This window comes from Homo sapiens, chromosome 7 (genome assembly GCF_000001405.40).
Source record: "Homo sapiens chromosome 7, GRCh38.p14 Primary Assembly".
NCBI classification, from domain to species: domain Eukaryota; kingdom Metazoa; phylum Chordata; class Mammalia; order Primates; family Hominidae; genus Homo; species Homo sapiens.
In genome coordinates this window covers 30,304,186-30,320,657 of record NC_000007.14, presented here as the reverse complement: position 1 = coordinate 30,320,657, position 16,472 = coordinate 30,304,186, and the positions used below count along the sequence as shown (strand labels likewise).

At 36.0% G+C, this 16,472-nt stretch overlaps 1 protein-coding gene across 4 annotated transcripts in view, besides 1 other annotated feature; it reads right to left on the bottom strand.

Moving 5' to 3' along the window:
- The window catches only part of ZNRF2 (zinc and ring finger 2), an 83,093-nt gene that overhangs the window by 47,032 nt on the left and 19,589 nt on the right, over positions 1 to 16,472 (bottom strand). The gene's annotated exons all lie outside the window — the stretch shown is intronic.
- Positions 1,649 to 1,817: a silencer, noted in NCBI's record as "fragment chr7:30358457-30358625 (GRCh37/hg19 assembly coordinates)". NCBI's record gives its function as "represses an EF-1alpha promoter that drives an FKBP-Casp9 reporter gene in an ReSE screen in phorbol 12-myristate 13-acetate-treated (for megakaryocytic differentiation) K562 erythroleukemia cells {active_cell/tissue: K562(+PMA)}" and the evidence as "EXISTENCE:reporter gene assay evidence [ECO:0000049][PMID:32094911]".

Here is a 16,472-nt window from a genome sequence, read left to right as displayed (position 1 = left end):
TACCTTAAATGTGCTCAGAACCCTTTCAATACCGTATTCAATAAATTACATGAGATATTTGGCTCAGCACCACCGAGTTTCATTATGAATATTGCTAGCCCTGAAAAATATTGAAATTCAAAGTATAGTTTCTACAGAATGCATATCACCTCCACACCATTATAAAGTCAAAAATCCTAAGTTAAACATCTATGTAAAGCACTCTTAAAACTGTATACATATATATGATATGCATGTGGGTACTACTAGTATGTATTTACATATTTACTTAACCACAGCCTGTCCATTTCTAAATTCTTTGTTTTGATTCATCCTTGATTCATCTCTCTCTGTATAGTTATCTTTCTATATACCTGAGTAGATTTATTTATAAATGTATGTATCGATAAATTATTTATATAGAGAAATTTCTCTATGTATATATAGAAAGATCTGTATAGAGATCTACATATATAACATATATAGATAATTATTTGGGACACATGGCAGAGGGGTCTTCAGAGCTCTTGGAAAAAAATGGGACTCAAGAAGTGTATTATCTTTAAATACTCAGACTCAGGACTCAACCAACAGATGAATCAAAACAAAGAATTCGTGGTTAAATAAATATATAAACTCACGGACACACAGGTAGTACACACATGCACGATTCTATTTAAAAATAAAAATATGTGTAAACAACTATAGGAATTATCTCTACAAAACAGTACTAAATATTACAAATGTAAACAGTGTGAAAATGATCAAACTAACAAAAACTGGGATGGGAACAGCAGGATCATCTTGGTGTATAAAAGGCCAAGAGAGACTGTGATGAAGAGAGTCAACAGTAGAGATGAACCAGATCATTCTGCTCTTGTTAAACAGAGAAGAAAACATATAGACAATGAATCACTAGTGTCATTAATCCTTCTCTTCTACCCAAAGAACTTTTAGATGGTCACCAGTATCCTACTAAGGTGTCATCTTTCTCCAGGAATCTTTCTCTAAGTGCTCTACCCCAAGGTCAACTTGATCATTCCCTCCCTTTGTATTTCTTCCATACCTGGACAATACTTCAATGCAGCACATGGCCCTGTGTTTATTTACATGTCAATCTCCTTATTATCCTTAATAGTCAGGTGAAAATACAGAAATGTGAGGCCCAATAGACCTGGTAAAAATCCTGTTTCTATTACATACAGACTAGGTGACCCAGGGAAGGCACTTCAGCCCTCCAGGCCTGACTTCTTCCCTGTAAACACTGATACTACTACTTACACATTAGAAATTTGGTGAGAATTAAAGATTATAATGTATATATAATGCCTGCAACATAGTAAGTATTCAGTAAACAGTGGCTATCATTTATTGAAATTTTCCCCTCTACACTTTTCAGACAACTCTTATTCTTTGTAAATTCTTAAAACAGTACAGTTCTTGCCCAGGAGTTTGAGGCTGCAGTGAACTATGATCCTACCACTGCACTACAGCCCGGGCAACAGGGTAAGACTCTGTCTCTAAAAATAAAGAGTACAGTTCTAAAACGACATTTTTTTTTTTTTTTGAGACGGAGTTTCGCTCTTTCACCCAGGCTGGAGTGAAGTGGCGCAATCTTGGCTCACTGCAACCTCCACCCCCTGGGTTCAAGTGATTCTCTTGCCTCAGCCTCCCGAGTAGCTGGGATTACAGGCACGCACCACCACACCCAGCTAATTTTTGTATTTTTAGTAGAGATGGGGTTTTGCCATGTTGGCCAGGTTCGTCTTGAACTCCTGACCTCAGGTGATCCGTCCGCCTCAGCCTCCCAAAGTGCTGGGATTGCAGGCGTGAGCCAACACACCCAGCCTCTATAATGACATTCTTTAATAATAAAATCCAGATTCCTATTAAGAAAAACTTTCTGTAACTACTCAATGACACATACTGCTGCATCAAAGTTACTTTACCAAATGCTTTTCCATTGTTGATGACTAAGGCAAAAAGATTTTTCTTTGTATCTCCAGTGGCCCAACCCTACTTTTAACTCAGTATTTGTACATTGTTTCCTCCTAGAAACCAACCACAAACAAAAAGGGACTGATCCTAAACCTGAGACTGGTGAATACACCAATTGGCAGGAAAAATACAGGTGAGATTTTTGGGTTTTTTGTTGGTAGAAAAATTACTCCAACCACCAAGTCAGATCTGTTAGGCATGACAGAAGATGAAGGCCCTATTATGAGATTTACATACCAAATCATTATTCTACAACTGCAAACAGGTCATCTAAATGCAACTTTCTTAGTTATGAGAGTTCCCAATAACCACAAACAAAATAAAGACACCAGCAAAAATCACCCAGAAGAACTGATCCTCTCAATCACTATATCCAAAGAGAAATAAAGGTAACCAGGGACTACATTAGAGACAGATGAGATGCCAGATGTTTGGACTCTTCTATTTTAACCTTTATAATAATCCAAATATTCTGCCCCTCCCCCAGATGTCATGAACCTCCCTCCTATGTCATCGACCTCACTGGCTATAAATGTTCTCTATCCAAAGCCGGCACTCCAAGTTTCCCCAAAATCAAAACCATTCCTTTATACTGTCCCTAAAACAAAGCTCCACTCCATCTGATCTCAATTAGGTAATCTGACTAATTTATTTCCAGAAGGCAATAATCAATAGGCTTAACACTCCCCTACGTAGAAATGCAATGAATATGACAAACAATGGAATGAATCAGTGACAGAGGAATGGGTTCAGGAGATTTTTACAGCAAGTAACCTCCATCTGCTACACCAGGCCATACAAAGCTCTTCAGGTAATACAAAACAGAAGCTGTCATTCCATCTCTGATAACAGAACTAAAGAATATTAACCATAAGGAACCTACACTCTCTCTGTTTAAACTGCTCACTTAAAGAGAATATAGGTCTAAGTGGAAAGACATCAAAAGTGCCAGAACTCAGCTCTTCTGATTCCTAGGCTTTGAGCTTTCTGTCACAGCATCCTGGCTGTTGGCCCTCTTTTGCATTACTGAATGCATGCAAGCAACCCCATGCCACCATTCCCTGTACAAGGCTTTCCCACTATTTCCCACTATGAGCCTAATACAAATTTGGTGTTGCCATTTAATTATTTTCCTCCAATAGAACATACCCATTACATCTCCATGCCTTTGCTCTTGATTAAGCCAATATTTTCATCCTACTTTACTAAAAATTTACTCCCATCCCTTCAAGCCCAGATCAAGTCTCACCATCTCAATGAAATCTTTTAGAGAACTCAAAAGCAAAATGTCCTTCTCTGTCCTACTGAATTCCTTTTACTGATAACACTCATTTGACATATCATGTGTAATACTACTTCTGTGTAGATCTTATCTCCCAAATTTGATACCTGTGGGGCAGAAATTGCATATTATTCTGCGTGTTACATCTGATCACTCTGTCCAAGCACCCAGCTAGACCTACAGTCAACACTTAATAAATATCCAAATAAATACGGAAATGAACTATACAGTTGGCCTCAGTTCTAGAGGCAAGAATGGCACAATTAAAGGCAGATTAGGAAATTCTAATTACTGGTGATTATAACCACAATTATAAGCACTGCTTGCAGGAATGCACTGCATTTTTTTTCAAATTCCGTTCAAAGGTAAAATTGTTTTAAACATGCCAGTAAAAAAAAGGGGGGGCAAATAAATCAACTTCCATAAGCAAAGAACTTTAGACTATATAAAACATAAGCGCAGCAAAAGGCCTGGAGTCTAAACTGAAAAGATGAACTTATCTCATTTACTGGTAGGATCTGTTCTGAGTCTGGCAAATACAGAATTATCTGTTATGAAAAATTTCCCAGAAAATGCAAGCTAACTAACTTCTATAACCACAGGCAGGATCAGTTGCAGATGACCTAACTTCTCTCTAAATTATCACGGTTTTCTAATAGGTAAACTTTCTGCTATAAAGGAAAAGTTGCTCAAGAGGCCAAAGAGGAAACACCTAAGTAAAATCTATACACTTAAAAATGACAGCGACTTAATAAAGGACAAAAATATCTGAAATAAAATTAAAATAGCAGGACAGCAAATGTTCCAATAACACAATATAGCAGAATACATTCTGAAACAAGTTAGCAGGAAACGTTTTAACCTTGTTCAACAAGCGTTTTACCAGGCTAAATAGCTAAATGTCTAATTAATCCTCTGATAAATCCTCCAAAGCAATCCTTGATGAACCTATAAAACATCAGTATACAACAATTTGTATAACAGACATTCTTGAATAGCTTAGTTCACATCAGGACCATATATTCAGTCCACTAGGGAAAATCATTACTTCCTACTATCTACTGGTTTATGACAATTCTTTTTTTTTTTTTTTTTTTTTTTTTTTTTTTTGAGATGGAGTTTCGCTCTTGTTGCCCAGGCTGGAGTACAGTGGTGCAATCTTGACTCACCACAACCTCCGCTTCCCAGGTTCAAGCAGTTCTCCTGCCTCAGCATCCCAAGTAGCTGGGATTACAGGGATGCACCACCAAGCCCAGCTAATTTTGTATTTTTAGTAGAGATGGAGTTTCTCCATGTTGGTCAGGCTGGTCTCCAACTCCCAACCTCAGGTGATCTGCCCGCCTTGGCCTCCCAAAGTGCTGGGATTACAGGTGTGAGCCACAGCGCCTAGTCTGACAATTCTTTTACTTTATTTTTTTCATATATTCTCTTTGGAAAGAACATGAATGAAGCAATTTTAAGTGAAAATTATGATCTATTTTTTGTAGCCCCAAAGTCATTAGTGTGCCTCTCATGACACACACTATCACTCAAATATTTGAATGAATGAAAAGCTATCCAAAGCAGTTTTTTATGTTAGATATCAGTATGCTGTAATGACTCATTAAATGTCTTACAAGGATTCTTTAAGTATGCCCTGTAGGCGTCTTTATACCCAACCCCCCCCCCCCCGCCCCACCTTTTTCTTTAGTTAGGGACAAAAAACAAACTTAATTATGGGATCAGACATTTTTAAGTTTCACACTGTGTACCTAACAAATGCCCTCCGTGTTGTCCAAAAAGAGTTACACTTCTCCATGTTCACTGTAATTACTCCCAAGCCAGGTAGACTCAACTTTGTGAGAATGCAAATGCACTCTAAGGGAACATCCACTCTAATCTCCTTTTACAGGTAAGAAAACTCAGTGAGGTAAAAATTCTTGACAAAACTCATAAAACTAGTCAGGACTAGGGCCAGAACTAGGACTCTTTTCACTACACTCTGCAGTCCACTCATCTCTCTACCAGATCTCTCTCATAGCATTTATAACCAATTAAACGATTTACAATATCTTGTACATAAAAATGTTACAACCATGCAACAATCATAGGGGGTCTATTTTGAGATTTCCAAGGGATTATTTCGTGTGAATAGTGGCAAAAAACAAACAAATACCAAAATACCAAAACAAAACACCAATGGAATGAATGGCTAAGATAAGAACAGACACTTAGGTACCATGAGCAAATCAAAATCCATACTGGGACCAAGTCTTGGATATCTTAACAAATACACTTCCCATAGGCCAGGCGTGGTGGCTCACACCTGTAATCCCAGCACTTTGGGAGGCTGAGGTGGGCAGATCACAATGTCAGGAGATCGAGACCATCCTGGCTAACATGGTGAAACCCCATCTCTACTAAAAATACAAAAAATTAGCCAGACATGGTGGCAGGCGACTGTAGTCCCAGCTACTCAGGAGGCTGAGGCAGGAGAATGGTGTGAACCCAGGAGGCAGAGCTTGCAGTGAGCCAAGTTTGTGTCACTGCACTCCAGCCTGGGTGACAGAATGAGACTGTCTCCAAAAAAAAAAAATACATACATACATATATACATATATATATATATATTTCCCATATTTGGAAAACTATGCAGAAACCCAGAGCGATAAAGTACTTGAGATTTAATAATTCCCCCATAACAAGTGAAAAAATTGGACAGCTATTGTTGAAGTCATAAAATGCAAGAAAAGCAGGCACACATTTTTATGTCTTTGGCATATTCACACTCTTAAAAATAACACTGCAGAGATGCCCCCTTTTTTCCCTTTTTTGCTTTTATTACTGATACCCTTTTATTACCTTCTAGCCCATCAATCAACTTTCTGTCCATCTTTTTTGTCTCCTCCACCTCACTCCCAAAAATATCCCATTAGCTTTATTCTTCATGCTTTACTGTCTAGATCATTTTAAATACATATAACCTACAAATCTGATAGATTAAAATAACTATAAATATCTTAACAGTGGGCCACCACTGACAGAGGGTATTTTCCTGTCACTGTGATGCTATGTTGTACAATGTTATGTTATGTAATGTAATGTTACGTGTGCCCCATAAAATGTATAGAAAATAATTCTGACAGAGAAAATTACAACTTTATTAGAAAATAAAGGTCATCTTGAGCAACATGGGTATTTCCCTGGGAAAACAACCAAATAATATAATAAAAATTTCTCTTTTAAATTTGTTTGAATTAATAAATTAATCCATTTTACAGAATAATGTCAAACAGAGTACAACGTGATTGCTCTTATCAAACAGCTGATGAAGGGAAAGAACTAAACCACTATTCACAACGGTAGAAAAGTCAACTTAAACTATGGTAGCACAGGACAGGTCAGCTCTCATGGAAAACTAAATAAAATCCATGTGGCAATACAAACAAGGCATCCTTAATTTATAATATGAGAGAGTATGCCAATAACACAACAAGGACCTAGGGATCAGTGGTTTACCTAATACAAATGGACCTTGTAAAATCGAATATACCGAACATATTCTGCCACCAGGGAACCTCGAAATGGCCACACATCACCACTGGGGGAGGAAGGTAGTGAATGAGGGTACAGAATGATCACAAGACAGACACAGGGAGGTTAAGTAGTTTTTTATTCTTCACTGATGTGAAACAAGCTCACTACAGAATAGGAGGATGCCTCAGTGCCAACGGTAACTTAGTCCATATTCTCGGGGGCAATTCTAGAAATCTGACTAAGTATGCAAAGCACTTTTGGAACTGAGCATGAGCTTTAACAGTAGTTACAGTCTATTTGTTTGTTTTCATAAATATGACAACAGCCTCTGCTCTGGGAATTTTCTCTCAGTAGAAAGGCAGGGAGGGAGGAAGGATGGAGTAATGGCATTTGCTCTGGGAATTCACAAACTAGAGGGAGAAATGCATGTCTGAGCCACAGCTTCTTACCCGACACTAACTTCTCACATGTATAATGCCCACTAGCCTATGAGGCCACATGTAACATGAGCAATATGTTAGTTTCACCTGGGTCTTAGATTATATTGTGGAAGTCAAATGAAGAGAAAAAAGGTTTAAACAACTATGGGTTTCAGAATAATTACAACAATGAACTCTAGCCTCTATGGCTACTGTTTATACGCATTGGCTTAAAGCAAAACACTAGGAAAAACCTGTACCAGCCACAGCTAAAATTCTCAATTAAGCTCAATGTCCCAGAATAATGTTTCTAAACAAACACATTTCCAATTCCCTTCAGTTGCAGAAAACTTAAGACCAAAGAATGATAGTAAGCTCCAGAACCAAAGTAGCCACTTGGGTACAGCTCACATGGCTTCTACTTATCAAGTGTTTCGTTTTAGGTTCTGTCTGTAAGGTATACATATAATCCCTAAAATATTATAAGATATATAAATTATTCCTCTCCTACATTTGTTGTTTTATCATGTTTTAGCTATTCCCAAAGCTATTTACTAAATTTCAGTTGAATTTTACTGAAACTCTTACCTCTTTAAAATATAAACAAAAGAGAAATTACTGCTTTTAATGTATAGCAACCAGATAACAAATTCATTAGACTTAAAATTAATCCAAGAGCCACAGGTGTAGTTACAGTCTTAATGAAACTATCACTTAAATGTCTTTAGGACTTTCAAATAAAAACAGAAAATGTTTTAAATAATTATACTGAACTAAAAAACATAAGGAATAATTTTAAAACATACCTTCCTCATGTTTCACATCACAATATCTGTTTACTTCATAGAACTATGTCAACGCAGAGTGACATATATATTTATTGGGTGAATGAACAAATATATCCTCCCTCCAATATATGCTGCTTCTTGCCCAGATTTGAAGATGAAGTGGTTTTTTTCTGTCTTCACAATTTTCTCCTTAGTACTCAATTGAACAAAGACAGCTCTGAACAGCTAAAAGACATTTTTAAAGCATGGCTCACTACATTTATGTCTCACTTTCCACACACACATACATATGCACATGAACGCACAAACACAACAGGAGCACTTTACTATGCTGTCAACTATCAGGATGTAACCAGTATCAAATGCAACAAAATACCTATTTAAAAATCCTCAGAGGGCTGGCATAGTAGCTCGCGTCTGTAATCCCAACACTCTGAGAGACCAAGGAGGGAGGACTGCTTGAGTACAGGAATTCCAGACCACCCTGAGCAATGTAATGAGACCCTGTCTCTACGGAAAAAAAGTTTTTAAATTAGCCAGGCATGGTGGTGTGTGCCTGTAGTCCCAGCTACTCGAGAGGCTAAGGTGGGAGGATCGCTTGAGCAAATATAAAATGTACCTAACAAAATTTGATAGAATTATTTTAAATGACCTTTTAGCAACTGGGGCCTTAAAATCTTAAATATACTTGGCTAAAAGTATTTTTTGTTATTGTCAATAATCTAATTTTTTTTACAGCCACCATGGCAAATCAACAGGTAACAAGGAAGGCTAAATATACATTAACAGATTACTATCACAACTAAAATCTAATTTAAAGTATAGCAGTTGGGCACCTGACTGTAATCAGTAACGTTTACGTAGATAAAATTTTGCCGACTACTGTTTGCACTCAAATAATTGGACTCAGTGTTACCAGTATTTTCTAAAACAACGCATACATAATATAATCCTTAAGAATTATGTCAAAAATTAATTCAGAACTGAAGGGCTGGTTCTACAAGGATTTTCAAGCTTAGCAGGTAGCATGCCAACTCCTAAGTATTTAAGCCAAGTTTCCTACAACTACCCTAGAACCCAGCGCAACTTTCTTAACACATCTGCAGTTAGTCTGACAAAAGTCATTAACTTTCTTTCCCATTGGGGCTCACCTATGGAAACCACTTTTCATTGGTATGTGTTAGTTACCTTCTTAAAGATACTGCTCTTCATGAAATTCACTCTGCATTATATACTTCCTTAGCTATATTGGGTTTGCTGGTAGTTCGTTTCTACATCCCCCAAATTCACATATGGAAGAATCAAATATAGCATTACAGACTTAAGCATTTATGACTCTTTAGGAATGAAAGGAATTAACATCCTACAGCCTATTTACTATCTATCTTAAAAGTTACTCGTAAAGAAATTACACTCGGGGTAAAATTCTGGGGTTGGTAAAGTGCAGGTTCTTGTGCCGGACCCCTATTGACTCCAAGGGGAATGGCACCAAGTTCAAGAGGCCAAAAACAAGACCCAGAGCCAGCAAACAAAACACGGGGTTTTACTGGAGGCTTACATACAGCGCAGAGAGTACCGCAGCAGTAGACTGGTCAGAAGAATCACCTTACACACAGTCAAGGGGTGGCAGGCTGGACAGAAGAACCACAACAGCTTGGAAAAGGCATGTAGTTTATAAAGCATTTTCAGTTAGCATCCTCCCACTAACAACCTCCACCTGTCAACCTTCTTTCAACCCCAAACTTGGGACCTCGATCCCCTGTACAGCTCATGTTCCACAGGACAGGACAAGACAGGACAGGACAGGACAGGACAGGACAGGGGCTCAGATGTTTCTCCTTAGACAAGGAACGAATCTCCTAATTAGCCACTCTCAGATTCCCTAGCTTGGAACTCACATTCAGTCCTGTATGCCACACAGGGTCATCCTCAAGGTATGCTTAAGAAAATGGCTATCAGGTGCGTTTACCCCACATAGGTCTGCAGGCCAACTGTGGCCTACTGTCAATTTTTGTACAGCCCTTGAGTCAAGAACTTTTTACATTTTTTAATGGCTGAATAAAAATTTTTTAAAAAAGAAAATGCTATGGCATGTGAAAATTATAGGAAATTCAAATTTCAGTGCCCACTAACCAATTTTTATTGAACGTGGCCACACACATTCATTTATGTATTGTCTCTATGGCTTACCCAAACTACAAAAAGAGGGAACAGAGACCAAAAGATCTGCAAAGCCTGAAATATTTACTATCTGGCCCTTTACTAGACATTTGCCAACCCCTGGATTAAGTCTTTAAGAACTGTTCAAAATATCCAAATATTTGTTTCAAAAGAGGAAAGAAAACCATTCTGAAAAAGTTTCGTTATGACAAAAACTCATCTGTAAGCTGCCAGTAAGTTGCATTAAAAAGTTTAGTCTAACCAAAGGGCTAAGGAATAATGAAGATGTTCCAGTCAGGCCAGTGTTACCACTGTTTTCCTGCTGCCACACCTGTTTATTCTCAAGCCATCACCCACCTGGTAGATTTTACCTCCTGAGTATCTGTCAGATTCAACCAATTCTTTAGACATCTACACCACCCTCACAACGTAGCTACTGTTATTTTTTCCTGGACTATGGCAGTAACCTCTCTATGCATCTGCTCTTGACCTCACCCTTCCCCAAACTGTTGTCACAGGCTATCTTCAAAACACCAACCAGACCTGATCACTCCCTGGTTTAAAATACACATAAACAAATACCAACTTTTTATTCATATACAAAGCCATGTATCTTGTTTTCTTCCAACTCCAGCCTCATTTATCTTCCATACCCTAAAACTTTTTACAAATTTTTAATAAATTACATAACATTTTAAAATATATTACATGCTACATATCTATACTTTCCTGATCAGCAAAATTTAGCATTTAACTGAATCACAACAATGCAAAACAAAAATTACCGGGTACCTTTCTGTACTGCTTAATAACAGGTTAGTTTCCTGTACTTTCCTTCTTATCCAACAATTACCAAACATAGTACACACATTCAAAAAATACTCACTGCTTAATTCACTATAAACACTGACTTCCAATGCTCTTAATTCTATTGGAAGTTTAGACGGACATGTGCTGATTCAGGATAGTGAACTCTGCACAATACCACAGCAAAAGGTTGACAGATGTGAAAGTTTGTATGTCTGGGTTTTCAAAGAGTTGCTTCTAAGAGTAAAGAGTCAGGGTGTCTTTTAGCTGTCTACTCCAGTCTTTAACTAGGACATCATCATTATACATGCTGAGTTTTATCAGAGAAGTGATAAATTTCTGAGCACTCTAAACACATTCTTATCCTAAATAATGGTTAAATAATCCCTTTAAGAAATCTAAATTTGACTCTGATTGTTGAAACAGAAAATATTCAGTATAACTATTTGACTAAATACATTAGAAGAGTTCAGAGAATGTTCAAAGTCCCACTCATGATATCCAAATAAAAGCTTATATACTCTGCTTTGCCATTATTTTAGAATTTTTACATGTTTTAATACGAAGCCTATTCTAACTTTTTAAAGTAAAAAGGCCCTCAGTAATAAAGACAATGTCATCATGTAAAGAAAATGGTACATATTCTATATATGAATTTATTTATACAGGAGTGAAGACATCATATTTAGGACCTGTCTTTAAAATAATTCAGAGAAAAGAGATAAATGAAGCCAATACTGCAAAATATAATGAACACTGAATGTGGATGCTGAAGATATGAAGTTTTTAGTTCATTGTACTGTTTGCCTCTACTTCTATGATTTCTAATAATATTTTTAGAAAGTCTGTAGTAAATCTAAGTCAATTTTTTCAGTAAATCTGAAAAGCCAAAATTCAATTCTAATTAAAAGTAACTCAGAAAATACTCAAATTCTAATTTAAAAAAATAAAATATTGACAATACTAATTGTTACAGAGGATGTAAAGAAATACAAACTCTCAAACAACAGTGTAACTAAAAAGCAACATAACCACAGTGGAAAACACTATTAAGCTGAAGGTATACATAACCTATGACTCAGCAATTCCACTTCTAGGTATATATCCCAGAGCAGTGGTTCTCAAATTTTAATGTCCTTAAGAGTCATTCATGTGGAGAGCTTGTTTCGGTTTCCTAGACCCCATCCCCAGAGATTCTGATTGAGGGTGGAGCCCACAGATTTGCATTTCTCCCAAGCTCACACAGATGACACCACCAATGGTGCTCGTTCAAGGACCATATTTTAAGTAATACTGTCCTAAAGAAATCTGTGCACATATGCACCAGAATACATATTAACAAAAAATTCACAGTAGCAATGTTCATAATGGCAAAATGGAAACAAACACCCAACAATGGAATGGTTGAAAAAATTCTGGTGTATTTACAGAATGAAAAATGATAAACTTTAAACTACAGAATGATGAACTACACACAGTATAAATGAATCTTACAAACATAAAAGCAGCAAGACCCAAAAAAGAGTATGATTCCATTTATATCAAGCTGGCAAAATTAAACATATTCTTTACAAATGTATATATAAATTATAAAACAAAGAATGGCAAAGAAATGATTACAAATGTACGGATTATGATTATTCTAAGAGGAAAAAAGGGCTTCATTATCAGGAAAACAAAGGGGAGGATTTCTGGAGTGTTGGCACTGTTCTACTGCACATGGATGACAGGTGCATTGGTATTCATTTTCTAACTCTACTCTTCCATTTTCTGCATTTTTCTTATTTATATTTCACACACAAAAATTTTAAAGACATTTTCTTTGATGGTAAAATTTTATGAAAGTGGCTTTCCAAAGTCTACTATAAGTTTTAACACACTAAATCTGGCCTCATTCTTTTAATCAGTTAAATTATATTTCACAATCTAAGTTTAAGAGTGAAACATTATGCTCGGTGGTAAATAAAAATTTCATTAAATCAAAATACAAAGTCTTGAGGCAACAGGTTAACGGTTATTGCTATGAAAAATCCTAATATATTTATACCTTTAAAAAACACTTGAAAGGCTCAAATATCTTGAAATGTGAAACAAGAAATAACAACACAGAATTTGATAGCAAATTTAGCAGAATTAAGGGTCAATAAAAACAGTATCATTCAATGGACTTGGACTCAGTCTATAATTCTTCCCAAAGATACTAGTTATTATGCTTTTAATGTACACAGAACAAACATCTTACAGAGATCTACCTGGCAAAATTTGGGAGGATTCCAAATGCCATATAGAAAATAAAAGTAGTACAGATGTGAGAAAGACTTTTCTCCTTCCCACTCCAATACCCCTCCACCCCCAGCCAAAAAAAAAAAAAAAAAAAAAAAACAAAAAAAAACAGCAGAAAGAAGACAAAAAAGAGAATGCAAGCTCCAAGAAAAACATCACTATGAAACACACAAACAATGGATGCCATTTGACACAGCATGCAAGGACAGGAGAACCTCAGAACTAAAGTTTTATCAGTCTACACACAAACAAGGCAACAATGAAAACCTGGGAAACCACAGAGACCGTCTGAAGTCTACAAAGTTTTCACCAAGATAGGTGAGGGTAAAAAAATCCTCACTAGGTCAAAAACTTTGTAAATCTTATTTAAATACTTACCATTAAACTACTGGTTCCAGAAGGGATAGAGGTAGCAGAGTAGAAAAAAGAGGGAAAACCCAATCAATACTAAGGATAAAAAGTGTCAACATAATATTAAATCTATGCACCCAGAATAAAATAGCAAATAAATACAAAATAATGAGAGATTAGGCAGCCAACTTTCTAGTAGTATTGAGAGGTGGGTGATCAATGCTCCCTTCTGCCTCGTATTCCTGTTTTACTTATTATTTGGACACTGAGCTACTTAACAGCTATTTCAAAAAGTGGACTTGGGAAGGCAAAGAAAGTCTGTAATTTTAAGTACGGTCGACAGGCAAGTCAATGTGCAACTTAAACTACTAAAGGAACCAAGAATCCCTTTATTACCTAAATTCTATTTCACAGCAATTGGATTATCCAGTGTTTTAGGAAAATTATCTATGTTTATCCATAATGTATGTACACAACTAAAGCAGTGGTTTAGTATTTCAGTGACTGGAATAGGTGGTTTTATCATTTGCTGGTATGGTTGATACCTAACCATTATCCTAAACAAATGAACAGTGACGCTGCTTATTGTAGCTTGCTCATTTGCCATAAAAGATGGAATTTTATTCTTCCTGACTTTGTTTCAACAGCTTTTATTATTTTAAGTATTTTATGTAATGCTTTACTTACTTCTAGCTTTCATACCCACCATTTAAGGCAACTTGCAGATAGGAGAATTTATTATTTTGATAATAAGCCATAAAAGACTGAATTTTATTCTTCCTGACTTTGTTTCAATAGCTTTCATTATTTTAAGTATTTTATGTAATGCTTTACTTACTACTAGCTTTATACCCGCCATTTAAGGCAACTTGCAGATAGGAGAATTTATTATTTTGATAGTAAGAGTGTTAGCTCACATTTGCAGAGCACTTTAAGCCAAACACTTTGCTAAATGCTACATTATCTCATCTAATCTTTAAAACCACTATATGAAGTAGCTACTATTATTATTATTACTTTAATATTGAGGAAAGAGCGGCTTAGAGAGTTTAGATGACTGGGCCAAAGCCCCAAAGGCCCAGCTACAGATCCAAAAATCAAAACCACTACACTATACAAACAGTAATAAATAAGATACCCAGAATAATGTTTTCAATGTTTCAATCTTAATTTCATTGCCATAAGTGCTAGAAACATGTATGACAGATGAATGTAATAAGAATCACAAGTCTTATGAAAAATTTCCCAATTCACTGATTTACTAAAGTACCAGAGGATAAACTAAACAAACAAGTAGGAAATATGACACTTTAATCTTACAAGAAATCAAATGTTAGCCCTAACTAAAAATACTAGAGAAACAATATTTATTGCTGGTAACTGGTCAACCTCATCTACAACACTGCTATAAGAATTAAATCATACACACAAAAACATGTCCACATTAAAAACTGAAAAAGTGTACTCCTTGCTAAAATGAGTTCAAGAAATGAAACTAATGGCTTACAAGAAAGATAAATTCTGGGTGGTTATTTGTTATAAAGGTTTTTTAAGTATACTTTTTAAATGACAATGTTTTAAAAAACAAGGAGAACAAACTTACAAAAATACTATCTACATGAAAATAAAAGCTAAATAAAATAAGCCATATCTCCCTTGAAGCTTAAGATATCTTTTAAAACATGAGTAAAACTAGTATAGTTACCTATTTTCCTAAGAACAATAAAACTTTACGTAAGATTAGAATGCTCGAAGCTTCAGAAAATAAGTACATTTACAATGATGAAAGACAATCAGTATCTCAAACAGCAAAACTTTATACCCAGTGGTATTCGGGTAGATATTTAACAACTGTTCTCCAGGGGAAAAAAATCCTGATTTGTACTAGTTGCTGATTTCCATGGTATAAATAGTCTGTCCTATTTCAAGTCACCAAAGTGGTATCATTGAACACAGAATAGGAAAGAGATGTGCAACTGCACACTGACAGAATTTCCACCACACAGATACAACAGGTGTCAATAACCTCAAGAACACAGATAACAGTAAAATATAATAAAACTAGGACATAAGTTTTGAGTATTTCCTTTGTTTTAAATATAATTTAAATGCAATTTATATAATTTAATTTTAATGATGGTTATATTTAACATCTGGCTTGCCGAAGTCCTAATAATTTATCAACTCCAGGAAGAGCTAGTTCCAGCACACCAGGGGCACAGAGCTCCCTTTTTAACTCACCCTAGTCCTTTATTTCCCTCATTTTCCTATAACTTTTTGGTGGGTTAATGAGGAAGCAAGTCATGCTATTTTCATCAATCAGCTCTCTCAATGATTTACCCTAAGTCTATATGATGAATATCCCTTAAGTCCACCTATCCTTGCTGTTCAAACAAGACCCAACCCATGGCCCTAAACATAATAGACTGGTAACACCCATTCATACTTTTCGGTAGTTTTATCACAGAAAAATGAAGCAATGGCTAGTTGCACCTGCTGCAAATATACTTTCCTCCACCTATTCCCTCAACATCACAATGGTTTTTGCCTCACAAGCATTTTTAAGTTTCCTAAAAGACCAAAATAATTTGCATTTACACTAATATCATTTACAAGCCATATCACTTGCAACAGTATGTTACTACTTTATTTTCTGCCAGTCTGACAGGCATAAAGTGCTATCACATTACTACTTCAGTTTGCATTTCCCTAGAAAGCAATCTGGCAAAATCCATTAAATGTAATAATAGGGAATGCTAGTCCTGGAATATAGTGGAATAAGTACTTGGACCTGCCATCCTAATTAAAACAACTCAAAATCCAGCATTTTTTTTAATCTTAAAAAACATGAATGAGCTGGCAAGAAGCTATAGCTGCTTAGGCCAGAAA